This window comes from Homo sapiens, chromosome 2 (assembly GCF_000001405.40).
Source record: "Homo sapiens chromosome 2, GRCh38.p14 Primary Assembly".
NCBI classification, from domain to species: Eukaryota; Metazoa; Chordata; class Mammalia; order Primates; family Hominidae; genus Homo; species Homo sapiens.
The window spans coordinates 239353846-239381322 of NC_000002.12; the positions used below are offsets into that span (position 1 = coordinate 239353846).

The following is a 27477-nucleotide window of genomic DNA, read 5'->3' on the forward strand; positions in this document are numbered from 1 at the left end:
ACGCTTGCATCAGCCTGGATCCATAGACATTCGTAGTCACAATGTCTGTGTAATCACAGAATTTAATTCTAAAGTCCGCATTCCTCACGTAACATGATAACCTAAAATAGTTCCCTCATGTTTCTGTCTTCATAATGACCATTTTCTCAGGTTTTCATTTTCTGCTTATAAAAGCAATACATGCGCATCACAGGTTAAGTATTTAAAAAGTCATCCATGATGCCATCACACACAGACAAGCCCTTGGTAACATTCTGACATGCTTCCTTGCCGTTGTTTTTCTTTGCCTTTTGCCCATACGAACCTCTAGTGATACAGCTGTCTATCACGTTCTCTGTGCTGATATTACAGCCAGGCATTTTCCAATGGCATTAACAATACCTGGTAAGCTTCGTTTTGAAGGGCTGTTTCCTATTCCATGTGTGGATAGACAGCTGCCCCGCCCCACTTCAGGAGCTTCGGATGAGCCTGCTGCTCCCAGGGAAGTGTCGGGCCAAAGAGTGGCATGTGGCACCAGCTGAGCTCATCAAGTTCTCTTTCCAAGGCCTGCCTCTTCAATAGATCAGTCACTAGATGAACCCAAAAGAGACAAGTCTCAGCACTCCTACCACTGAGAGTCCCTGGCTGATCCCAGCTCAAGTGCTTTCAGAGGCTTCTGTGTTCATCTTTCTTTAAAAGTGTGACCAATTCCTTTTCTTGATTTAATTAGTCTAGAAATTTTTTTTTTTTTTTTTTTTTTTTTTTTGCCAATTGCTTATAACCAAAGAACTCTAACCAGTTCATCATGTAAAGAATCACCCCCGCCCCCAAGGCTGGCTATCTAGATGCTTTCCAACTTTATGTTCATTGTATCTACAACTCTGATTAATATCTTCATGACTGTTGTTCTGTATCTGGTTATCTCCTTAGGAATGACAATGACTTATTTGTCTTCAGGGTCAGAATGTTTATTCATCTCTTGGTCAGAAAGAGACATTTTCTTGAAGGGAATGTAGATGGCATATTTTTCAAACCCTCACAAATCTCAGATGACAGTATCCTTCACACAAAAAAACACATCTCAGCTGGGTATAAAAATCTTAGATCACAAATATGCCCCCCTCAAAATTTTTGGATGTCATTCCCCCCTCAACATTGTAGGGAAGTTTAAGTCCAGCTCAATTACAGCTTCTTTCCAGGTAAAACTTTGGGGGCCGAGTCTTGATGTTGTGGTTGTTACCATTTTCTTCTGCCTGGAATCTACTGGCATTTTTTTCTTGAATCTTAAAATTCAAAAACGTTGTCAGAAGATACATAAGTAAGAGTCTTTTATTTTGTTCAAAACATGACTCTTTCAACAAATATAGGTCTTCTTTCTGCTCAGGAAAATGTTCTTCAATTATGTCACTGATTATTATTTTTGTTAAACTTGTTCTGGCTTCTTCAGAGTTCCTATGCTATTTGGCTGAAGTCTCCCCATCAGATCTGGCCTCTTTCACCGGTGACACATCTGTTGTTTATTCTGCATTCCCAGGCAGCCTCTCAAGTATGTTCTTCACTTCACTGCTGCTATTTTCCACAATATCCATTTTATTCCTTATGGCTTCAAATACAGATTTTAACTAAGCCATGAACTCTTTGTTCTCAACCACTTCCCTTTAAACTCATCTCATCATCTTCTCACTCGGCCTAGTCCCTCCTCATACATCACCTTCTGCTTCTCTTTGTTGAGCCAGGTATTCTTCTAGCCAAAGCCTTTTGAAAATATTTTTTCCTGATTTAATTTCATTTTCAGAGGCATATTCTTCTGCACTTCAGGGTATTTCCCTCTTCCATACATTCTGGGATACCCTTTTTTTGACAGGTCCAAAGGTGAGGTTTGTTTCTGTTTATTTATCTTCAAATAGGAATAAGCTCTAGTCCAGACCTGAGGACTGCCAAGAGGCTATGTGTGCTCACTCCTACCCTGTTCTGTGTTCACTTTAATACTGGTCAATTATGCTTCTCAAAGCTATAATTCTGGCAAGCTGACATGCACGGTTCCTAGCCAAATGTCCAGTGTCTAGCAAGGTTTCACCTAACATAGTGCTGACAGCTAGAAACGGATTCTTCTCCCAACTGCAGATTCAATAGAGCACAGGCATTTTCACTATAATAGAAATGTTCTGGAAGAACCTCACGCTCTTGCAAAACTGTATACTAAAAACACAAGGGCTTATCTTAGAAAAAAGAAAAGTTGCAGTAGACTATTCAAAACTATGCTATTTCATCACCAAGGCATTACAAAAACATTACACAGAGAACATTACATTAAGAAAAACATCACATAGTTTTAAAAATATATATATAATAGTCCTGATCAATGAAAAGTCCAGTAAACATAGAAATTTACCTTTTAAAAAGGTGAAAACAGTTTGACGGAACAGTAAAAGGAAGAATTAAAGCATCTAAGTTGCAGAACTGGAGACAGCCAAGCCCAACTATATCAGTGAGCATATCAAACTGTCTCAACACCCCATTTAAAGGGCAGGGGTTGTCAGACTGGATAAAAAAGCGAGACCCTACTTTCCCAGAGTATAAAGAGGAATCGTGTGAGGAGGGACTAAAAAGCTTTTGGAGAGAGGAGGCTCTGTGTTTTATAACGTACAGTCAATCTTCCCCAAGCACTATACACCCAGCTATGTGCTGCCTACAAGAAATCTATCTTGTTATATTTAAAATATAGAAATAGATTAAAAGATGGACAAATGTATATCACATAACTAATCAAAAGAAAGCTGTAATGGTTATATGTATATCAAAGTAAAATTTAAAGAAAGAATACTACCAGCAATACAGAAGACCACTTCATAATGATAAAGGGGTTGGTTCATCAAGTGGGCACACAGTCCTAAACATTTATGCACCTGTTGGCAGGGCTTCATACTTGATGCAAGCAGTGTGCATAGGTATTCACTCACACCACGATATTTCCATATGAGTTTACATTTCAACAATCATGAGTCTATACCGAGACCTCAGATCCCAACATCACAAGGTATAAAATAAAATAATAATATAAAATAATAAAAGCATAAGAAGAAATGGACAAATCTACAATTATAACTGGGAATTTTCACACCCTGCTCTTAGTAGCTGTTAGAACAAGTAGACAGAAAATAAGAACAGAGAAGACCTGACCACTACCACCCAACTTGACCAAAATGACATTCATGGAACACTCCATAAACAACGGCTGAATACACGTTATTCACGTTCTTTTTTAAAAACACACACAGAACATTTACCAAGATAGAACACCTTCTGGGCCATAAAACCAGTCTCGAATTCAAAAGGACAAGTCAAGTCATACAAAGTATGTTCACTGACAAAACTGAAATTAAATTAGAAGTCAATAACAAAGATATTTGAAAATCCTAAGTATTTGCAAACACATCATGAATCAAAGAAAAAATTTAAAAGAAGTTAGAAAACATTTTGAAACGAATGAAAATACAACATAAAAATCTGCAGTGCTTAGGAGGAAACATAAGTACCAAATGCCTGTATTAGAAAAGAAGGCCTCAATTCAATGACCTTAGGTTTCACCTTAAAAAATTAGAAAAAGAACAAATTAAACTCAAAATAAGAAAAAAAAAACAGTAACAGAAGACAACAGAACAGAGAAAAATCAATGAAACTAAAAGCTGATTCTTTGAGACTATAAAATTGATAAACTTCTAGCAGAGCTGATAAAGAGAAAAGACAAAGATTAACAATATCGAGAATGAGAGAGGGGGCCAGGTGTGGTGGCTCACACCTGTAATTGTAGCACTTTGGGAGGCCGAGGTGGGGGGATTGCTTGAGCTCAGGAGTTCGAGAGCAGCCTGGGCAACATTGTGAAACCCTGTCTCGACAAAAAATAATAAAAAAAAATAAGCTGGGCATGGTGGTGCATGCCTGTAGTCCCAGCTACTCGGGAGGCTGAGGTGGGAGGATCACTTGAACCCGGGAGGTCAAGGCTGCAGTGAGCCAAAATCACGCCACTGTACCCCAGCCTGGGTGACAGAGCAAGCCTCTGTTCCAAAAAAAAAAAAAAAAAAAAAAAAAAAAAGAGAGTGGGAATTAACTACAGATTGCACAAATATTAAAAGGACAATGGGGAATATTATGAAAAACTTTATGCCAATAAATTTGACAACTTAGATGAAATAAACAAGTGCCTTGAAAAGCCCAAGCTACCGAAGCTCACTGGAGAGAGACACATATCAACACACGTCTTCGTGGGCCTGAATCCATCAGAGCAGCCGGGCTGTGACACTCACTGTCATGATGTTTGCCTAGTGGTGACATCCAAATCACCTCCTTTTTGCTGCACTTATTACTTAGAATTCCAAGGCAAGGATGAGCTTTCACTGCTCCATCTTCCCAGTGACTCAGTAATCTGCTTCCGTTCGTGTGGACTCACAGATAGTTACGTTATCCGCTGTGTTATTAGTCCCATACTGCCACCATTGGTGTTGGTGCTAAAGCGCCGGCCGTCGGGAGCTCCTGCAAACCAGCTCCTAGGTTTTTCTGGCAAGCCTCCAATCCAGTCTTTTGTTTGTTTGTTTTTGAGCATTTGCTTACTTTCTGATTTTACAAGATGTCCCTGTCACAGTCCCGGAATCAATGGCTTCTCCAGGGAACCCTGGATCCATGTTTGGGAGAACTGTGTTCGGACCCAATCTAGTGCTAGGTGTGCTAACTGCTGCTGGGCGACAGAGCACGCAGGGCCCTCTCAGCAGGCAGCGCGCGTAGGGACTCACTCACACCTCAGTATCTCTGTATGAGTTTACACTTGAATAATCATGAGTCTATACTGAGACCTCAGATCCCAACATCACAAGGTGTATTTTAGTCTTCCTCTTTCCTTGTTTTTATTAAATATCTTTCTAACAGTGGGAAACCTGGTTCCTATTATCTACAGTATCTTTTCTCATTTGTTTAATTCCGGTACACACACAAAGTCATTTCAGAATCGCTAACCTCTACACATGAGAAACACATTCACAAGACCACCATTTATACACGATTCTCCTTGTTCTCAGCCTTACCGTATCCAGGTAAGACACTGGTTTCCAAAGTTATCAGGTGAGTGCATTTGTAAGAGAGTTAAATTCCTTGGTTAGCATATGTATTTCATGTTGAGTTCCCCACATACTGGTTGGTTTTAGTCATTTGTTTATTTTTTGGATATGTAAAAAGTACAAATATTTTAAGTAAAAAAAAAGTGTTTTCATATTGATATTTGCAATTTAAGATTTCACAGGTTTTAACATGAATTTCTCTTTAAAAACAAAGCTTTTATATTATGAAAACTTCAAACATATACAGAGTAAAGAGAACTGTGTGACAGCCCACGGCATCTAGCTTCAACGCCAGCCAACACCCTGGCATTCACGCTGCGTCGGTACCTCCTTCCACCTACACTGAAACGTCCGAAAGTTAACGGCACTATTTTGAAAATGCATATACCCATGTAACTCTATTACCATGTGAGTTCCTCCTCACTTTTACACGCACAGCCAAGCTAATGGGAAACATGTTTCACATGATGTGGCCAGAATCCGGCTGTGTCATGAACAAGAGGGCTTCTCAGAATCTTGTGTCCTCTGCGCTGAGGGAAGCAGAAGCCACTGAAGGCTTCTGAGCAGGACAGAGGACCTGGGGTCGGGTCTAGGATAGGCCGAGATGACAGAAGCAGCTTGGGTGGGGACCCCTTCCCAGAGCTGGGGGGTGGGGGCTCCAGCTACTGGGGAGTGCATGGAGAACATGCCCCTCCACTCGGTCACATACTCAGCCTTCGGGTCACCTTTTCAGCCAGAAATGGTCATTCCCTGGTGCCTCTGGTGAAGGCTCACTGAGAGCCAGGTCACCAGGAACCACCCACAGCCTCCTGGGAGGAAGCCAGTGGGAGCTGCGATTTAGAGAGGAAGCAGAAGACTCGGGAATCTGTAGACGAGTGGATCTGACATGAGGAGGCTAAGAAGCCAGCTCCAGAACCTGCTGGACAGAATATCAATGCCCACAGTCTATGAACCCTTCTTTCTGGAAACCGGCGAGAACACAGAGTACTTGAGCCAAAGGAAGTGAGAATTCAGGTTTTACAGAGCAGGCATGCTAGACCCAAGGTACACCTGTTAGGAGTTCATGGTTGCAAGCAATAGAAAATTGACTTTGGATAATCTAGGCAAACAGAGGAAGCTCCAGCGAGTGAACGGGGTAGCTGGCAAAGCAGGTGGAGGGACCCAGAGGCAGGAATTAACGGAGAGTCCCTCCAGAACACTGTCCAACCACACCTGATGGCCTGCGCTGAGCCACAGCCCTTGACCAGGGAAGCCAGGACACCCTGACAGGCAGCGCCGCCAATGTGGGACCAATGGGAATGAGGGTCATTCCTCGAAGGAAAACTGAAGAATCATTACCAGAGGGGGAAATAGGACAAGGCAGACAGACGCCACAGACAGCCGCAAGGGGACCCGGAGACCCCAGCCCCCGTGTCACAGCTGGGGAGACTGAGTCAGCAGCCATGATGCTCAGTTGGGCTAAAAAAGTAGCTCCAACAGCCACAGACAGGACCTTCAGGGTCTGCCCAGGCACCCTGCCTTCCTGCAGCAGGACCCCAAGCTGTTCTGGCTCTGGCTGGGTCTGTTGTGACTCATGTGCTCGCTTATCTGATGAGCACCTGCCCCGTGCCTGGCTGCAAGTTCCACTGAGAGCAAACGGGAACATGTATCTCTTCACACCCCCGGACTCTGGCTTGGAAAAAAGTACTAGATAGGAAGCGGGGGCACCCGAGCTCCACCTGGTCCCTTAGGAAAGAGTACTAGACAGGGAGCGGGGACGCCCGAGCTCTACCTGGTCCCTTGGGAAAGAGTACTAGACAGGGAGCGGGGACACCCGAGCTCCACCTGGCCCCAGCACTAGCCCAGTGTGTTCTCTCACCCTGGACCAGTTCCTTATCACCCCTGAGCCTGATTCTTTTCTCCCCATAGAAGTACTGGGTTGGAGTTCATCGGCATCCCTGGTGTGCTGTAGGAAAAAGGCTCTGGGGCCAACGCTGTCTGGGAAATGTAAGTTCTCCAGACGGCTTAGAGGCTGCAGGTAAGGACAGGAAAGGCACCTCTCTCTCCACCTCCACACCCACGTCCCACCTCCCAGAAACTGCTCCTGATCGCCCCACCCCAGACGCTCATTCCTGTCACCCTACTTTCTTGCCCTTCCAAGTTCTTTCCTTTTTCTGATATTTCATTCTATGTTGACATTAAGTAGTTGTTTGTTTTCTCATTATCTGTCGGCCCCTCTGCCTGCCCCTGGCTGGAATGTGACCTCCTGCTGCACCCCTGGCCCAAGGCACACAGTAGGCACACAACAAAACTGTGAACTGAATGAACGTTTTTAAGGTCTTCCTGGATTCCCCTCAGAAACTACCTCACAGGGGGCTGAAGTTGAAAGCAAATTGCAAAAGAAACCGTTTTCTGCCTTTTGGGGGCTAGAGTTAAGTTTTAAGGATCTGATATCAAAGATTCCAGAAATTCACAAGTTTGTGGTACTTTAAGCCTCAGGACTCCCAATGCCTCAGAGAGCCTGCAGAGGGCTGCCATGAGAAAGCCAGAGTCACATACAATGCAGGGAACTGCTGTTGGCCCTCAGAATATCTGGGTTAAAAGAAAAACTTCACATTCCCTCATGAAGATCACAGGCAGAGAAGAGAAAAATTATGGAGTTAAGAACAAACGATTCTACAGCTGAAAACTAAATGGAACCCCTCATAAAGAAAGCAGCGCTATCTGAAGCCCACGAGGAAAGCAGTCTTTTCTATTGGATATGGGATGAAAACCCATCAGTCAGCTGTCTGCCTGATACACCTCTCTTCTTTCTGCCCATTCCGTCACCTTCTCCTTAGGTGGTGTGTCTTTGAACAACCCAACGCAACACTCACAACATAAAAACCTACTAGAAATTAAATGGTTTAATAAGACTTAAGCATGATCTAGTTCTTTTTATCTTGATGTATGTGTCTAATGATACTTCACTAACCAGATTAGAGAACTACGATGATCACTTTTCTAAGAAAACACATGGAAAGCACATGCTACTAAGATCTCAAGGATCCATTTGTTTCTGAAGGACGTTTGAAATGTGTATCTGTACATCCCTAACTAAAATACATTCTAATAAATAATAGACGAATGTGGACATATTACAACTTTCAAACACAATGCCTTTTAGGATGTATTTTCCCCTAACTTACCAGATGCACTAGAAGTCCACACTGAGCCACAGAGCCTGTGATTTTAATTTACAAGCACCTTTAGCAAGACAGCCATGGTCACTCTGCCAAGTGGGCAGTTTCTGACACTGGGCATCTGTTTACATAAAGACATCTCTCTCTTTTCATTTCTGCTCCACACAGAATCAATGAAAGCAAATGCATCACTAACGCTTACGTGTGGGTGTATTTCCTTCACCAAACACTTGGAATCTAAGGTTACCTATGGTTCCTCCTCCCGCAGCTTGGAAATTTTGAAATTTTGGTTGACTTAATTTCATGGAATAAGCCATAAACCTTCCAAAGAGCAAAAGTCTTAGAAGCTATAAATCCATCAGAGAACATTCTTCTAAAACATCTTACCAAGCTACCACAAAGAAATGTGACAGTGTGGGGAGGGCCAGTTTTGTCCCTTACCACACACCCTCCCCACCCCATTTCACGGGCAGTGACTATAGCTCAAAGTGCCCACCATGGCCTCAGCCTGCCATGCTGGTGACGGAACGGCCAGTGCTAGTGAACCAAAAGGAGAACCCAGAGTCACACAAAGGAGAGCAGCCTGCAGAACCCAGTCCAGAACGCCAAATACACATCATCTCCTGGGCAACAGAGAGCCTTCACCAAACAGGGAGTGAGGCCAGGATGCCCACTCTCATCATTTCCATTCAACACCCTGGCAGAGATCCTAGCCAGGGCAGTAAGGCAAGAAAAGAAAAGAAAGCAAAAAGATTACAAAGGAAAATGTCACTATTCACAGATGATATAGTGTATACACAGAAAACTCAAAACAATCTACCAATAACTATTAAAATAACTAAGTGAATTTTACAGGATTGCTGAGTAAAAGGTCAATAATGTACCAAAATCAAAAGCTATTGTATTTCTATACAGTGGCAATAAACAAATACAAAATAAGCTTTGAAAACAAGATAACATTTATAATAGCATACAATATTAGCAAATATCCAGTACTAAATCTATCAAGAGACGTAGAAGAATTCTACATAGAAAACTATAAAACGTAAGTGAAATTAGAGATCTCAATACAAGGAGGAATATACCATGTGCATGGACCGGAAACCCCAATGAGATTCCGATGTCAATGTTTTGCAAAGTAATCGGCAGTCAATGCAATCGCAATCAAAATCCCAGCAGAATTTTTTTGAAAACTGACAATTTTACATTTTAAATGGAAGCACAAAGAACCTGAAATAGCAATCTGGAAGAGAAACAAGCTTGGGGGACTCACACTACCAAATATCAAGACTTCTTCTAAACTTGTGTAATTAAAGTAAACCAAGGAGAATATGCTAGAATGAGACCAACACAGAGTCATCTGATTATTGTGAGGATTCCACCCCAAATCCATAGGGAAAACAGGGTCTTTTCAATATGCAGTGCTTGCGTCAGCTGCTCTTTGATGCTAAATGAACCACAGCCCATACAGCCCGCCATGATGGAAATTAGTATGAGCTGGATCACAGACCTAAATGTTAAAGGTAAGCAATGAGGCCTGGTCTAAAAGACAACAACAAAAAATATCTTCAGGTGGGCAAAGATAGACAGATGTTAAAAAGGTACTGACCATGAAGGAAAGAAAATGATAAATTGTGCTGCACTCAATTAAGAACACTCATTTATCAAAAGATGCAGAAGAGGGAAAAGGCAAGCCACAAAATAGAAGAGACCCTGCCACACATACACCCAGCAAGGGACGGATATTCAAAATGTATAAATAATTCTTACAAATCACTAAGAAAAAGGCAGACAACCTGAATGAAAAATAAGCAAAACACATCAACAGGTACTTTACAAGACAGGATTCCAAGTGGTCAATCAACACACACAAGGTCCTGCGCATGTGTGACTGCAGGGAAACGCGATAAAGCCACAACGGAACACTCCATACCCACCAAAATGGCTAAAATCTATAAACGAAAGGATACCATGTGTTGGTAAGGATGTGGTTGGCCGGCACTCACACACGAGGTTACAAAACAGTCAACGGCACACACCCTGTGGGAAACCCCTCGGTGGCAGGTACTACAGCCACACAAGTGCCATGCCCCAGCAATGCCAGCCCGAGGCATCTACCCAACAGAAAGACATCTACGAAGACACGGCAGCATTATCTGTAACAGTCAAAAACCAGAAACCTCCCAAACGTGCCAAAAGCTGCACGAATAAATACCTTGTGATGTCATCATACCACAGAACACCATACAGCAGTAAAAATAAACAAACTACACCTATATGCAGTGACACAGATAAATCACAGAAACATCATGCTGAGAAAAAGCAGACACACACAGCAGCGCCTACTGTAGGGCTCCGTGTGCATAAAATGTGAAAACAGGCAACACTAATCCGAGGTGGGAGACATCCAGACAGGTTCCCCTGGGAGGGGTGGGGGACGGCCACTGAAGGAAGAACAAGGGAGCGGTGGCGGGGGGAACACCTGCTCCTTGATCTGTGGAAGAGAAGGCAGAGCCTTCACTTGCAGAAAGTCAGCACCCGCATATCCCTCCTGGCTTGTGTACTTTTCTCATGTATTTTATAATTCAATAAAAAACTGGTGCAGACCAATGACTCAAAGCCATCTTGCACCAAGAAAGATCCAAATAATACTGATCTGACTGGTCCATGCAGCTTGCACGATCTTACCTGGACTTTCCAGACAGTGAGGAAGTATTTTATAATTCTTGCCACCATTTCTTACAACCAGTACATGTAGGAGAAATAGTCACCATACTACTCCTCTTAAAAGAAACCTCGCAGAAACGGAAAAGAATTCTTTCAGAACCCACGAGGGTGCAAACACAGGGTGCAGATTTTAAATGGAGAAAAAACAGGGAATTCCCAAAGAGGTACTAAGTCAGGTTTGTCAGACAAAATATATATGAAATCATTTTTAATTTGTGTAATTAAATGATTAATTTAATTTGAATTTAGGGTAATTAAAATTGAAATAAATTTTAAGCTTTAGAAAGCAAACTGTTGCTATATGACATTTCTGACTCCTGTCTATACAGTGAGTTTAATAAGCACTGTTTTCCTTAGTGAAATGTGGAGTGTAAGGTCTGGCTATTGTGTTTTATAAGAGTGTCATTTTATGATACGTGGCCACATGGCGCAAGACTTCAGATATTTTTCCTCCATAATTTGTTGGGACAGATTTATACTTTAGTTTCATAATGGACTCTACACTTGAAAGTAATAAAATTCCATTTCACTGTGCTGTAACGGGAATAAAATAGGAAGGATTTCACACAATCCACAGGCTTATGCTGAACAAGGCCAAAACAGGCTCTGCTGAGCTGAGGCCACCATTCCATCTGAGGCTCTGATTCCCCCACCCTCTGATTCTGGAACGTTCGGAAGATCAGATACCAAGAGGATAAAGAGGAAGGGCCATGGGAGCCAGCAAGGCTAGGTCTTCAGAGCCATGCATGAGGCACCAGGGGACACACACACACACTTGCACAGGCCAGGGTCATCAGGGTCATGCATGTGGCACCGAGGGACATGGACAGACATGCACACACAAGCCAGGGTTGTCAGGGTCATGCGTGTGGCACCAGGGGACACACACAGACATGCATGCACAGACCAGGGTCGTCAGGGTCACGCACGTGGCACTGGGGGACACACACAGACACGCATGCACAGACCAGGGTCGTCAGGGTCACACGTGTGGCACTGGGGGACACACGCAGACACGCATGCACAGATCAGGGTCATCAGGGTCACACGCGTGGCACTGGGGGACACACAGAGACATGCAGGCACAGACCAGGGTCGTCAGGGTCACGCGTGTGGCACTATGTGACATACACAGACATGCATGCACACAGCAGGGTTGTCAGGGTCATGCATGTGGCACTGGTGGACACACACAAACACGCATGCACAGAGCAGGGTCGTCAGGGTCACGCGTGTGGCACTGGCGGACACACACAAACACGCATGCACAGAGCAGGGTCGTCAGGGTCACGCGTGTGGCACTGGCGGACACAAACACGCATGCACAGAGCAGGGTCGTCAGGGTCATGCGTGTGGCACTATGTGACACATACAGACATGCATGCACACAGCAGGGTTGTCAGGGTCACGCGTGTGGCACTGGCGGACACACACAAACATGCATGCACAGAGCAGGGTCGTCAGGGTCACGCGTGTGGCACTGGCGGACACAGACACACAGATGAACGCACAAGAATAACTGTCCGTTAGCAGCAACAGAGCATCAGCTTTCTCCATGGAGGAAAACAGACGTCAGCACTGAACTTTCTCCATGGAGGAAAAGAGATGTCAGCACTGAGGCCCTTTTGCAGATGCCTAGGTGTGTTTATTGCCAGTCTGCGTAAGCATAAGAGTGGATAAAGATCCACATTCTGGCCTATGATCTCTAGCATGTACAAACTTATTGGTAAAATAAACTCTGGAGAGGAAGAGTCCAAATGGAGAAGGCATCCAGATAAAACAAGACTTGTTTCCGTTTGCTGTGAAATAAAAGAATTTCAGAGAAAAAGATTCAGACAGACACACAGAAGGCCCAAGGATTTGACTTACGGTGTGAAACGCTGGGCTCAATGGATCATTTAACATCAACTGCCATGAACACCCCGAGAGAGCAAAAGGCCAGTGGGGTCCCAGGCAGATGGCTGCAACCCCACGAAGGAAAACATGACTTATCCCTGACTTATCCCTGCCCTACGCAGGGCACCCCCAGGGCAGGTGACAAACAGCCCCAGAACCTTATGTCAGTACCAGACTAAGTAAGGAAAGATCTCTTCCACCATAACCACCATGCACCCAAGCACGCGTAGCTTCACCAACAACGGGCCTGAATTGAGCTTCACCAACAACATGCCTGAAAGCCTCCGTCACTGACAGGCACTTGCGGATGGAAAACAACCCTTTGACAAAAGACCCTATCGGCCAAATAAGTGATCAGCCCCCAGGCCCCCAGCCACACAGAAACCCGTTTCTAAAACAGCGGTCCTCATAATGCGATCTGGGGTCCCAGAGGGTCCCCGAGACCTTTACAAGAGGTGTGTGAAGTCAAATTTTTGTTCATAATAGAAAAATGTCATGTGCCCTTCTCTCACAGGGGTACAGTGGACATGGACTGAACGAGAGCCGGTGTGAGAAGCAGAAATACTGTCGCCATTAAGCCACACCTTCCATAGACTGGCAAAGGGTAAAATGATGCCTCTCTTCTCACGACGCTTTGTGTTTTACCGAACGGTTATTTTTTGTTAAAAATGTTACCTATCTATTTAACATGTAATGGGTTTATTCAGTTTCAAATGAGTAAGCACGTTTTTTAGATGTGTGTTAGTTTCTAATACAATAAATACCAATACAGGTTGAGCATCCCTAATCTAAGAATCCACAAACCAAAATGCTCCAAAATCTGAAATTTTCTGAGCACCAACATGAAAACCCAAGTGGAAAATTCCATACCTGACCTCATGTGATGGGTCACAGTCAAAACTGTTTGGCGAACAAAATTATTAAAAATACTATATGAAATTACCTTCACATTATATGTATAAGGTGAACATGAAAAATAAATTTCATGTTTAGGCTGGGTGTGGTGGCTCACACTAATCTCAGCACTTTGGGAGGCTGAGGCCGGTGGATCACCTGAGGTAAGCCTGGCCAACATGGTGAAACCCCATCTCTACTAAAAATACAAAAACTAGCCAGTCATAGTGGTGTATGTCTGTAATTCCAGCTACTCGGGAGGGAGGCTGAGGCAGTAGAATCGCTTAAACCTGGGAGGCGGAGGTGGCAGTGAGCCGAGACCACACCACTGCACTCCAGCCTGGGCGACAGAGTAAGACTCCGTCTCAAAATAAATAAATAAATAAATAAATAAATTTCATGTTTAGACTCAGGTCCCATCCCCAAGATATCTCATTATGTATACGCAAATACTTCAAAATCCAAAAACTCTGAGAGCCTGAACACTTCTGGTCCCAAGCACGTCAGAACGACAGTCAGCCTGTGCATCTCAATCATTGAAGCTAAAGCTCTTTGGAGTCCATGCTAATTTGCAGGAGTGTGAAGGGCTCCGGAGTTTGAGAACCGTGGCTCTGCAGGTGTGTTCCAACCCTCTTCCTTCGGAGACACAGGAGGGCCCTGAATGTCAGATGTGAGGGATGTGGGGCCCGCAGAGACACAGGAACTTGGCTGTGAGGAATTCAGGGACTAGCAAAGGGGGCGATGAGAAGACCCTGAAATGCACCGTCCAAAGCACAGTACCATCTTGCGTGGCTGGCGCTGCTGCATTTCACCTTTCTTCACGTGGAGGGGGTCTCATCAAGGCAGCAGAACAGCTTCTTGAAACAAACTCAAGATTGACAGGGTGCCAAGCAAGAAAAACTGGAAACTGACGTGTCCCAGCCGCCCACCCACTTCCTTCTCCATTGGGGGATAACAGGGGGGTACAAGTGAAGGGCCTCCGTCCTGAGGAGAGGGGCACAGGCTGTTTCCTCCAGACACAGACACTCCTCAGTGGTCAGGACCGTCCTCTCCATGCCTGTCTCAAGCTGCAGGTGCCTCTCCTGCCCAGGTGAGGTGGGAGACCTGGGCAGGCAGCCCTCCCTGTTCTGCAGGTGAGGTGCTTATCACTGCTGGAGTGGACCCTCCTAAGTGTTGCGTTCTTTCGGACCAAAGCAGTAAATAAAGGTGCTTTGATTCCAGGTGATAGCCCAAGTTCCTCCCCAACTCTACTCAAAACTATCGATGTCGGCATCGACAGCTGAGGCTGCCCTGCAGATGGGAACCCGCAGACAATCCTGGTACCTGCTGCTGTGATTATTCACAGCCGTCAGAGAGCCCTCACCTGGGGGGAGGTGAATGCCAACCCCACGGGTGACACACCACTCCCCTGGTGACCCCAGGGAAGCTGCAGGAAGGTGACAAAGGACCTGCACACACAGGCAGTGGACAGGCTCGCCGGCAGGGAGGAATCCTCTCTGTTTGACAAGACACAGACAGGCCCTCTCTGGTGACAGTCTCCAAGAAAGGAGGGAAGGCTTGGACAGATGCCAACAAGCGGGAAGGAAGACAGCAGCACGGCCCATTCCCCGACGGTCCCCTTTCATCTTTCCAGGTCTGAACTGCCCACAGTTCTGAGTTTTGGGTCCCAATAAATGGACGTCTGGACCAAGAGCATGTCTACGGTTGGAGCTCACACCTGCTGGTGGCAGCAAGCCGACTGCCCGGCGGGGGGTGGGCAGCCCGGGAGCCACAGGGCTCCCCAGAGACAGCCGCTTGGGCTGCAATGTCTCCAAGCTACAGTCCCGCTAACCCGGTTGGTTTCCCAAGCATGTGAGCGAAACTCAGAGGTTCGTTAAACTCCTACTTTCTAAGTTTATTTATTGTTGCAATTGTTTACAAAAAGCATTTTTATTTTAATGTAAAAAGCAAAGCTATTTCTATTTTAAAATAAATTAAAACTGCTGCAGATAATCAAGAGACGGGTCAAGCCCTGCTCTCATTTCCGCGTACACGGTGTAGCTGGGCATGAAGTACTTATAAACTCATGAAGTCAAGAAGTGTTCAACACAGCGCCTCGGAAGCCAGGTTGCTGGATGACACGGCCCATGACGTCTCAGCAGGCCTGGGCCACCTTCTCTCAAGCAGAACACACAGAATCGTAGCCACCTTTCATAGAAAACAACGGAAATGAAGAGCTTAAAGGAGCTGAGGACAGTGCAGGGTGCATGAAAGGAAGTGGCACAGATGCCTGAAGGCTTGTACTGAAAGTGGCGTCATGCCCTGATGGGAACTTCCCATTCCTCCCTGGTGGGCGGAGAGAATCATAGGACCGCCACATCCTGTCATCTCCACTTTTCTTTCTCTTAAAGAACAGATGATTGCAGCGTGGCTGGCGACACACTTCATGAGGCAGAGAAAAGCACGCCCAGATGCACGGGGCCCTGTACAGGACGGCAGGCCGTCTGCCCTGTGTCCCCGGGACTGGCAGGTCAGTGAGGGTAGCATCCCGACTTTTCCCAAGGGGCTCTGCGGGGTCAAAACAGAGTTTAAAAATGCAAAGACAACCATGCAACCCTTAGCCATGGGCCACCAACAACCGTCAGAGAGTGGTGCTAGAGGTCCAAAATGCTGCGCTGAGGGAGGCACCCCACAGCTCTGAAATGTTCCAACTCCCTCGATCCCACTGAAAGACATGGCTCGGGGCTCTCCTGTTAAAGGGTAGAGTAAAAGCAGGTATGGTTCTCGCAGGCAGGAGACAGGTGCCACACCAATCAAGATGCAGTTTTAAAGACTGCTACTTAGCAGACTTGTAAAACTGGATTTGCCCAGAGACAGACCAAACCCAGTCAGCACGGGCACTCTGGACTCCCTGCAGCGCCCCCCTGAATCCAGGCCTCCCTGCTCCCTGCCTTGCCAGCCCTGGGGCCTGTGAAGCATGTCTGGTGTTTTTCAGGAGGTCATGCACTGTATGGTTAACGGCAACAGATAGTGCAGAGCTGATCCTGCACAGCGGCCTCCGGGAGAGCAGGACTCTTGTGCTGGCCAGGCACCTGGTGGAAAGGCTGGTGCACCTGCAGCCCTGCGGCGCCTGGAGGAGCCGAGCAGAGGAGCTGGTTGAGCACCCACTGGACTTGGGCTTGAAAACCTGTCTTCACAGCTCATCCCCGCATCATGCTGGGTCTTTTCAAAATGATGATGATTACTTTAAGAACGTTCCTGGGATGAATTACAGACAGCTAAATGAGTCATAAAGGTGAAGGACCAACATGCCCCTCATCTCCTAGTTGGATAGTCGATGACAGCTGCCATCTAGGGCAATTGCTCTAACCCTCTGCCCTTTGGAGCCACTGATGTGCAGCTGCTGTCCACACCACAGGGCTTCCCACAGCCTGTCGCCCCCAGAGTCAGTCACTCCTCAGCTCCTGGCAGCCACAGGGCAGGCCCCAGCTGGGACAGGGAATCACCCAGGACAGAGTCCACCTTTGTCCAGGCAGGAACCCTGCGCCTCAGGCCACCTTGTCTGTGCAGACACCTGTTCTGGCCTGCACCACGGCCCCGTCCACTCAGGCCAGGCTCCAACAAGGAGTCCAACATATAAACACGTGTGTCACTCACACATGACCTCAAACTCACACACTCAATCACATACACACATCCTTATACACTCACACACACTCTCACATAACCACAAACTCACAATCATGAACACACTCAAACACGCACACTCAAACCCATGCGCTCATATACTAACACTTATACACTAATACAAACACAAGCATGCACTTACACAACCTCAAACTCACACATTCAATCACACTTGCACACTCACACCCAGGCACTCACACACACTAACACAAACACACAAACATGCATGCTCACACACATAACCTTAAACACACCCGATCACATTCATGCAAACATGCACTCATGCTCACAGTGTAACACACCCACAGACATTCACAAACACTCATGCTCACACATTCACACTCACAAATACACTCATATAACCTCAAACACACATACGCACGGACTCACTCACACACACACGTGTGTGGCAACAGCACAGGGGACCTGGCTCAGGCATGGCCGCACAAGCAGGATGGAGACTGGAGCCTCTGTCGGCGTGGCCCGGGCCTTTACCTGTGGTCCCTCAAAGCTTTTGCACAAAGATGAGGATCTGGGCCTGCGCATCCGGCCCTGCCTCATTCACCTGTATTGTTAAATCGGAATCAAGTGATAGCACAGGCATGGACCCAAAACAGTGAAGAGCCCGTGGAGGGGCAGGGGGCAGCATCCATCAGAGATTTCAACAATGCCCCACAAACATCCAGCAGCTGGCGGACGGGAGCAGCTGCACCCGCAGAGCTGCAAAGCAGACCAGGGCAGGGCGCGTGGGTGGCTGCTCGGCCAGAGGCATCCTCAAGGCCCCAGACTGCTGGGGGTCTCTCCAACGAGGGCAGTAGGGTGAAGCAGGAACCCATAGGAACCTGATGGGGAGCCTCCCTGAGGGTCTCTGTCTCAGGAACTCCTGGACAGTGGGCCCCAGGACTCTCCTCTGCAGAACCAGAACAGAACCCACTGCCCGAGGCAGCAGGTGGGGAGTTTGTGATCCAGAGAAAAGGCCCTCAAGCCGGCACTGGAAGGGCCCAGCTACTCATCCGACCGCTCCCCATCCCCGGGCCCTCCTCCTTACTCCTGCCTTTAAGAAGCAACACCTCAGCCATGCACTCCCATTTACAAAAGTCGTTGTTACCACAAGAGTAACACCACCACACAAAGACACACACAGGTGATCTCTGTCCCTGGCTCCCTTGCAAGGCCACCAGGGTCCTTCCTTGGGCTGGGCTCCCGCGCACACACGCGCGCACACACACAGACAGGCTTCGCTTCTGTGAGTGCCCAAAGACTCGCACTCCACACGCTGCTCTGCAGCTCCCACTCCTACATCCCGGCCTCCCGGTACACCAGGAGCTCTGGTCCCCTCTCTCTACAGAGTGTACGCGGCAACACGCACAAGCAAGCAGTTTATACACAGCGACAGAACAGACACACTGCTTCATGTTCAGAGCAATAGCTTCTTTCTCTCTTTCCTGCTCTCTCCACCATCAAACACCCAACAGGAAACCTTTGCGTGGTTGCTGTCCACACTTCCCTCCATTCCATACACATACACACACACGCACACACATGCTCACAATGCACACATGTGCACATATGTACACATGCACACACCAGGTGGTCACTGCCTCCAAAAATGAAATTGTATCCTACAGACTTCTCAGCATCTTCCGTTTCTCATTCAATACCATGTCTCGGGGGAGTCCGTCACGTGGCTGTGCCAACATTTAGCCAAGCATTCTCCCACTCATGGGCACAGACTTTCCTCCAAGCGTTTGACTCTTACCACAACACTGCAAGAGACTGCCGGGTGCAAAGAGCCTCACGTCCTGGGGTCTGTGGCCCTGTGGAGCACAGCCCTGGGAGTGGGGGCTGAGTGAAGTATCTGCTTATTTCTCACATCAGGACATGTGAGCAGAACGACCTCTAAAGAGGCTGCAGCCGCGCGTACCTCCTCCAGCCATGCCCGACACTGCTGCGGCCTCTACATCCTCCCTTGTAATGGACACCATCTCTCTTGCCATATTCTGCCAAGCTAGGTAAAAAGCACGATCTCTGCTGACTTTTCTGGGCATCTCCCTGGGGGCTGGGGAGTTTGGGCATGTCTGCAACGACCCCTCTTCCCTGGGCTGCCTGGTCACACTGAGCGTTCATTTTCTAATGTTGGTCTTTCTCTCCAGTTTGGAAGAGACCTCTCCATAGTAAACTTTTTGTTGTTGTTGTTGTTTGTTTGTTTTGAGACAGAGTCTCACTCTGTCGCCCAGGCTGGAGTGCGGTGGTGTGATCTCGGCTCAACCTCCACCTCCCAGGTTCAAGCGATTCTCTCACCTCAGCCTCCCAAGTAGCTGGGATTACAGGCGTGCACCACCACGCCCAGCTAATTTTTGTATTTTTGGTAGAGATGGGGTTTCACCATGCAGGTCAGGCTGATCTTGAACTCCCGACCTCAGGTGATCCGCCTGCCTCAGCTTTGTCAAATGTTACACATATTTTTCCAAAACTCTCATTTCTTCATTGACTTTGTTGCTAATATCTTTATCCACTCAAAAGTTGTCATTTTTATTCTGTCAATTGCATCTTTGTCCGCTTCTAGAGATCCGGGGTCAATGAGGACGGGTCCTTGATGCCCCAATTGTCTTTGGAGATTTCTCTTGCTTTACTTTTTACAGTTAAGCCTTGAATCCATCTGAAATGTATCTTCCCCTCATACTTAGATATGAACAATTGACCAGCCACTGAAAAAGTTGAAGCAAGAAAAAGAATGACCAAGGTACACAGAAAAACTGAGCCCGGAAGACACAGAGGTAATTCAAGCCCCTCTAAGGAGGGACACTGAGAACAGTGATGCTATGGCGTCCGCAGAACAGGCACCAACGGATGCAAAGCAGAGGCGATCAGGCAGCAGGGCCTGGAACTTCAGCCGGTGAACAGCAGAACAAAACTGCACAGAGGACCTGGGAGATCACATTGAGTAAATATCAGAGAAATAAACCAGTAGCCAAAATGGCATTCACAGGAATCCCACCAAAGGAAAACACAGGTCAGAGGTGCTGCAGGGAAATGACAATGATGCCGACAATGATGACGAGGGTGACCAGGAGAGGAGGAAACCACCCCAGATGAATAGAAAACAAGGCTTTTTTTTTTTTTTTTTTTTTTTTTTTTTTTTTTTGAGACGGAGTCTCGCTCTGTCGCCCAGGCTGGAGTGCAGTGGCGGGATCTCGGCTCACTGCAAGCTCCGCCTCCCGGGTTCACGCCATTCTCCTGCCTCAGCCTCCCAAGTAGCTGGGACTACAGGCGCCCGCCACTACGCCCGGCTAATTTTTTGTATTTTTAGTAGAGACGGGGTTTCACCGTTTTAGCCAGGATGGTCTCGATCTCCTGACCTCGTGATCCGCCCGCCTCGGCCTCCCAAAGTGCTGGGATTACAGGCGTGAGCCACCGCGCCCGGCCAACAAGGCTTTAAAAATTAAGTTAACTCATGTGTGCTAAATGGGATAAATTTTAAATTTCAGAATATCAAAGATAATCAGAAGATCTCAAATTTCAGATAAAATGAAAATAAGACACCTAAACCTGGACGAGAGCCAAGCTGGCCACAGGTCCTGTCAGCTGCACAGGCCCACCCTGGCGGTACGTGAAGGGCAGCGTGCAAATCGGGCACCCTGTGTAAGTCAGAGACCCGATCTAAAGAGAGGGACGGTCCCTAAGGCTCACGGCCTGAAGACCCAGGTGAGGGGTGACGCTGCCAGGGCACCTGGACGGGTGGGTGTGAGCTAGACAGACTCAGGAGTTGCCTGCTGCGGGCAGGAAGGGCAGCCGCAGGGGTCTGATGGGTCAGCTGGGAGAACACGCAGAGCCAGGCAGGGTCCACAGAGCTGTGAAGAACACTGACATTGGGAACCAGGCAGCAGGAACGCCCAGATGTGCCTGGGGCAGGGCAGCCACGTAGGAAGAAGTCAGCAGAGCCAGGGGCCTGGGAATCAGAGGAGCAGAGGGTGCCCCGGGAGGTGCCAGAGCCTGCTTGGTCTCTCTGCTGTCCTGCAGGCCTGCGGACTCCGCCCACCCACCCTCCCATCCACGCATGTCCCTAAATGTTCCCTGAACACCTGCCAGGCCACGGACCGTCCACTCACTTGTCCTCACCGGGCCAGCGAGGATGCCTGGTGGCCCACGGCCAGCCCAACCCCACCGTGAGGATGTGTGAAGCGAAGCCCCTGCCTCAGGCCTGAGCGTCCTCCATGCAGATTCAGCCCCACCAGGGCAACACCACTGACCTCAGCGAGTGGTGACGCCTCACAGCGTCCACAGGATGGCACTCACGCCTACCTGGCACACGGACACCACGGACGCTACAGGCCATCACAGCCTTCCAGTATGACTGCAGGAGAGGGTCCTGCCAACTCAGTCACGCACAGGCTCCAGTGGCGCAGCAGAAGGGCAGTCTGGGGTGGAAGATCGCATGGGGACGCTGCTTGCCATGGAGCACCCACTGCCAGGTGCTCTGGACGGGCGTTTCCTCCATGGCCCCCCAGGGGGCCTGGGGAGTCTGGGCTCCCTCAACCAGTGAGTGCCCCCGACTGCAGGCAATCTTGCCCAGCCCAGGCCTCTTGCCGGCCCTTATGGGGGAGGGTGCTGGAGAAGAGGGGGGTGCCTGGCAGTCACCCCACCCGACTGCGAGTGTCACCTGGACCACGTCATGTCCTGTCCACAGCCTGCTGGACGCCCTGGGGCCAGCCTCGTCTGACTCTGCTTCAATGTGTCCTTTGATGGTCCCTAAAGCAGGGCTGGCAGGTTCTGGGCAATGATGTTCCACCATCCAAACAGCAAGGCAGGTGCTGTGTGCTCACAACCCTCCACCATCCAAACACCAAGGCAGGTGCTGTGTGCTCACAACCCTCCACCATCCAAACACCAAGGCAGGTGCTGTGTGCTCACAACCCTCCACCATCCAAACAAGGCAGGTGCTGTGTGCTCACAACCCTCCACCATCCAAACACCAAGGCAGGTGCTGTGTGCTCACAACCCTCCACCATCCAAACACCAAGGAAGGTGCTGTGTGCTCACAACCCTCCACCATCCAAACACCAAGGAAGGTGCTGTGTGCTCACAACCCTCCTGATGGTGCCCAGATGTGAGGAAGGTGCTGTGTGCTCACAACCCTCCTGATGGTGCCCAGATGTGAGGAAGGTGCTGTGTGCTCACAACCCTCCTGATGGTGCCCCAGATGTCACCACCGCGCCATCAGAGGTGGGACACAGACTCTGTCGACCGCCCTGGCCCGAAGGCACGTGTCTACTACCATCAGTAACATGGCCTCCTGGCCACACCACACACACCACCTGCCGGGAGCACAACACCCGCCCCAGGGGGAGGTGATGAACGCCATCCAGCCACAGATTGCCCGGGACGCCTAGTTTTTTGTTAGTTCAGACCGTGTGTTCCTGAATACAGCCTGAGTGGCCACACTTGAGTAACGATTAAAAAGCCACAGTGCTCAACAGAACACGCCACTGCTATGACACAAATCCTCATAATGCAGGCATACGGCTGGGAGGCAGGGTCTCGGTGGAACCAGACTCCCTGAGTAAGCACAGCACAAAATGTTTCTGACACACTGATGACAACTACAGCACAAACTGGGGTTGCACGATGATAGCAAGTTTCAATAATAAGTGGCTCTGAGTGCAGGTCCTTATTGGAAGGGGAGCTATTCCACGCCCGTCCCTCCTGGACATAGACCACTTCCTTACTCACACCACTGCCCTGCCAGACACGGTCACTTGGAACCAACACCTTACCCGTGAGCGTGCTTCAGAGACATCCCCAGCCTGCGGGGCCTCTGCCTTCGGTGCCCAGATGCTGTCCTCCCAAAGCCGGGGTGGGCTGCGCTCCTCTATGGCAGCCCAAAGGCTACCTCTGCTCACTCTGACTCTGAACTTGAAACCAAAAGCAGTTCCCCAGGCGTCAGCTGCCCCAGCTCAGGCGTCGCCACCACAGGTTACGAGGCCGTCCACTAACCGAAGCCACTGCCAGGGCGCTGTCCACACAGGTGCTGGCTCACAGGCCACGTGTGCCTCTGGAGGCCCCAAAATGTCCAGGGCCTCTGACTCCGTGACTCTCTGTGTTGCCAGCATGAGAGGCCTGCTCCAGGCTGCAACACAGCACCTGTCACGAGGGCTGCCCCGACGCCTGCATCCTCTCTGCCACCAATGGGCCTCTCTGGACCCTCCTGGAGGCCCTGTCTTCTATGCAGATCTCCACACCTCTCAGTGCATCACCACAATGGAGGGAGCACGAGATTCTCCTTCCCCAAAGGGACCTATGATGTATCCTGCCTCACTTCGCCCAGACCACCAACCTGGAGCAGCCGAGGTGCGGGCAGGAGGCCCCAGGGCCACAGTCTCACCACTGGCTTCTCACAAGGGGCAGGGCTGACAGCTCATCTGGCTGGGACCAGTATTATGTGCAGAGACCCAACGTGGTGAAAAGACCCCCAGGACCCTAGAGCACCTGCCAGGATGCAAGACGGACATCTCAGACACAACTGGGCACGGCCAGGCAGACAAGCCCAGGCCCAAGACTGATCACCGCGCTGAGCTCAGCTGCCGCCACCTTCTGCTGGGACTGTCTCCATATGCCACAGGGGGAGCGCCCCACCTGCTTGGTTTTACACCCACCTCAAGGACCTCTAATTTTCCCTGAAATAGGAGTTCTATGGACATCAAAATGCCTGGTTTTCAAAAAGAATTATGGCCATTGTCCTCCAGGGGAGACGTCGCGTCCTGAGGCATCCCCTCTGTCCAGCAAACGCGGTGCCCCTCCACTCAGCCAACATCCGGGGAATGCCAGCGGCAGGTGGGTGCCCCTCTCAGCCTGGGGACATGCCCTGTGCACATAGATCTGGCCCGGGAGACACCTCTTGGACCCTGAGGCGTCTGTCGAAGAGCAGCCCAGTGGGCATCCGTGACAGCTTGGGGACTTCCTTCCTTCCTGGGGGAGACGAGCACCCAGGCACATAAAGTCCAGCGGTGACCAGGGTGGGGAGGGCACTAAAGCAGAGTCCAGGATGGAGACGGAGTTGGCAGCTGGGGTCCACACGATGATGGCCTGGAAGAGGGAAGGCGTTGGCCCCGGGGAACGAAGAGCTGAGTCACATGCTCAACGTGACCACGGCTGTTCTGACACTGCGCCAGGGCTGGCACCCACACTGAACGTGCACCACCCAGATGGCAGCATCACAAGGACCATCGTACTGTTGAGGGCCATATCCAGAGGTCCCTGTCCTCACCTCCCACTCTCCTCTGCAGGCCTCCATGGGCTCCCCTCGCTCTCAGGAGCCAGAGGTGGCCTGAAACGGCCCCGGGAACCAAGAACCCCGGGAACCAAGAACCCCGGGAACCAATGACCCCGGGAACCAATGACCCCGGGAACCAATGAACCCGGGAACCAATAACCCCGGGAACCAATAACCCCAGGAACCAATGACCCCAGCAACCAATGACCCCGGCATGTCCTGGGCTCTTCTCTTGTTCACTTGAGGGATCCATGCATCTCCTACTCTCCTTCCTGCCTTGGCAGAGTCGGACAATTTGGCCTGAGGCAAAACAGTCTTTCGAACAAAGAGGACACACCAGGCCTCCTCGAAGACTGCCAAGCTCTGTCTAGTTCCCCAGGAAGCAGCCCTCTTTCCCCTCATTTCCAAGGAAAAGTGTCCCATGCTGGGCCCGCTCACTCACTGGCACACAGCAGAATCTTCAGTGTCAGCCGCAGGGGTGGGACGGGAAGGTAAAGAGGAAGTGCCCTAGGGAAGGAGACACAAAGGGAAGAAACGCTCCTCAGGCTAAGTAATTCAGAAGTGACAGGGAGCCCAGGGGCAAGTCACTCCAGGAAGGCAGGAGCTGGGGGTGGAGGCCGCCAAGAAAAGCTGTTCCTCGGAGGACAGAGGGAGAGTCCAGCCAGGGGGAGTGGGCGCTGGGGGTGGAGAGGAAGGAAGCCAGGTGACCAACCCAGGAAGGTGGGTCCCTGCAAGTGCTGGCTCCCGCGCAGGTGGGCGAGCCCCGGGGAGACGCACCAGGCCGGTGCCAGGAGAAAGCAGAGCGTGTGATGATGCTGGGCATGCTGGCAGTCACTGACAGACACCAAGACTCACCCCGTCTACCCGTTGTGGAGCCACTGCCCTCTTCTGCCTGTCACCCTCCAGTCCCTCAAGCACAGCCCCAGCCCAGCCCCATCAAGGTCTGCTCCTTCTTACCCAAGGAGGTCCAAGCTCCCAGGAGGGGTCTGGCAGGTCCCCTCGGCCTGAGCTGGCCCAGTGCCCGCCCTGCTCTCAGGGCACCGGCTCCTGGCAGGGCCTCCCTAGCGCTCCCCACAGCCCCCACCTTGGTGGCCCAGTCATCTTACCCTATCTTCAGAGCCAGCCTGGGCACCATTCCCCTGGCAGCCCCAAGGAGCCCCAGGGTGGGGTAAGCGCCCTTTCTCCAAGCCCCCCATCGGCTGCCGGGGCCCCTTGCTCATCCTCTCCACTGGGAAGGCCAGAGAGCAGCCCCTGCCCCACCACGGGGTCACACTCACCACAGGGTCACAGGAAACAAAGGACAGAAGAACACCAAGCCAGGCTCAGCACCTGCACGCAGACACTGACAGTGGGATAGGGAGACAGTGGAATGCTCCGGACCTGGCTGCGGGGTGACTCGGGGGGAAGCGGATGCAGACTGCAGGCTCCATCTGGCCCGTGGTGGAGTGTGGCCAGCCTGCCATCCAGCCGGGGGCGCCAAGACTCCACTGGGCTGGGAGGGCGTGCACGAAAAAGGGGATGAGACCTGGGGTCGGGGGCGCGGCGTGGGCCCATGGGTGCCAGAGCCAAGAGGGCCCTCATGAGGCTCGATTCATTCAGAGAAAGAAAACAGCACAATCAGTTCTGGAGATCTGGACCAGAGGAATAAGAAGAAATCCCACTGCGGAATGCGCGAGCTCTGCAATGGCCCGCGTCTTTGGGTAAATCGAGGATGGGCATATGCACACACACGTCCGTGCACACATTTAACTTCTTATATAATTCATGTATTTAATGTACATTTACATTAAATTATACATATGTTATAAATACACATTTACTATGTATTCTATATTGATAATATAGACATATTTTATCTATGTGTAGCTATAGTTATTGTATGTATAAACATTTGTTTTTTCCCATCTTTCTCTCTATAGTTAGCAAACATTTGAGTTCACCACGGGCCTGACAGTAACCTTGTGTTTCAGAAGAACCACCTGCCTTTAAAAACTCTAATTGAATAGCTATTTAATGGGTGTATGTTAATAGCTTCAGTTTTGCAAGATGAAAAAATTCTAGAAATTGGGTGCACAACCACGTGAATATAATTAACACTGCTGAACTGTACACTAACAAATGGTTACAATGGTTAATTTTGTTAGGTGTTTCTTACCACAATTGAAAATTTTTTTTATATTTAAAAGCCGGAAACACACACACAATCAAATAAATTGCCCAAACTGCTTGTTCACATGGATTCTTTCCCGCTTTGTCCCCAACTTCAGAGGCATTGCTGCTGCCTACCGATCTCCACTCGGCCTTCACGTCCCATCTCAGAAAACGAGGGATGCCCGGTTTAAACGTTCCCGTACACAGCGCACACTTCCTGTGGATCGAGGTCACCCCTCAGCAGCGCCTCCCGGATGCAAGGAGCAAACACGGGTTCACGTCCTGATAGCTGAGAAAATGACTGGCAGTGACTGAAACAACAGCATCCCACACACAACACACACATCAGGATGTTTAAAGTATATTTATGGTGACTGAGCTGTCACCTGAACACGTGACGTACACGCGATGCTCTGAGGAAGGAAACCGTCTAGGAACCAAGAGTCACGGAGCTGCCTCCCGCGACCGCCTTCCTCAATCACTACAATGAAAACACGCAGTGAGCTGAGCTGCAGTGAAGACAAATGACTCTCAGTGCTTCGTTTTAGCATATTCTAAAAATGCAATTTACAATTCAGCAATATCCTTTCTTTTTATGTAGTCACTACAACACAAACATGCCTCT

The 27477-nt window shown here is 49.2% G+C and overlaps 1 protein-coding gene across 26 annotated transcripts in view, besides 4 other annotated features; it reads right to left on the bottom strand.

Moving 5' to 3' along the window:
* Positions 1-27477, bottom strand: part of HDAC4 (histone deacetylase 4) — a 353482-nt gene that overhangs the window by 305678 nt on the left and 20327 nt on the right. For 2 of the 26 annotated variants that reach the window (XM_047446484.1, XM_047446476.1), the window contains exon 1: positions 382-27192. The exons of the other annotated variants lie outside the window; for them this stretch is intronic. The gene's annotated coding sequence lies outside the window, so the exon portion shown is untranslated. Of the gene's footprint in view, positions 1-381; positions 27193-27477 lie in introns of those variants that run through there. 26 annotated transcript variants of the gene reach the window in all.
* Positions 11560-12096: an enhancer, noted in NCBI's record as "H3K27ac-H3K4me1 hESC enhancer chr2:240287100-240287636 (GRCh37/hg19 assembly coordinates)". NCBI's record gives its function as "activates a minimal SCP1, AML or CMV promoter by ChIP-STARR-seq in naive and primed H9 embryonic stem cells {active_cell/tissue: H9 hESC(naive and primed)}" and the evidence as "EXISTENCE:reporter gene assay evidence [ECO:0000049][PMID:30033119]".
* Positions 12097-12632: an enhancer, noted in NCBI's record as "H3K27ac-H3K4me1 hESC enhancer chr2:240287637-240288172 (GRCh37/hg19 assembly coordinates)". NCBI's record gives its function as "activates a minimal SCP1, AML or CMV promoter by ChIP-STARR-seq in primed H9 embryonic stem cells {active_cell/tissue: H9 hESC(primed)}" and the evidence as "EXISTENCE:reporter gene assay evidence [ECO:0000049][PMID:30033119]".
* Positions 15754-16073: an enhancer, noted in NCBI's record as "active region_17388". NCBI's record gives its function as "activates an Ori minimal core promoter by ATAC-STARR-seq in GM12878 lymphoblastoid cells {active_cell/tissue: GM12878}" and the evidence as "EXISTENCE:reporter gene assay evidence [ECO:0000049][PMID:35858748]".
* Positions 16094-16253: an enhancer, noted in NCBI's record as "active region_17389". NCBI's record gives its function as "activates an Ori minimal core promoter by ATAC-STARR-seq in GM12878 lymphoblastoid cells {active_cell/tissue: GM12878}" and the evidence as "EXISTENCE:reporter gene assay evidence [ECO:0000049][PMID:35858748]".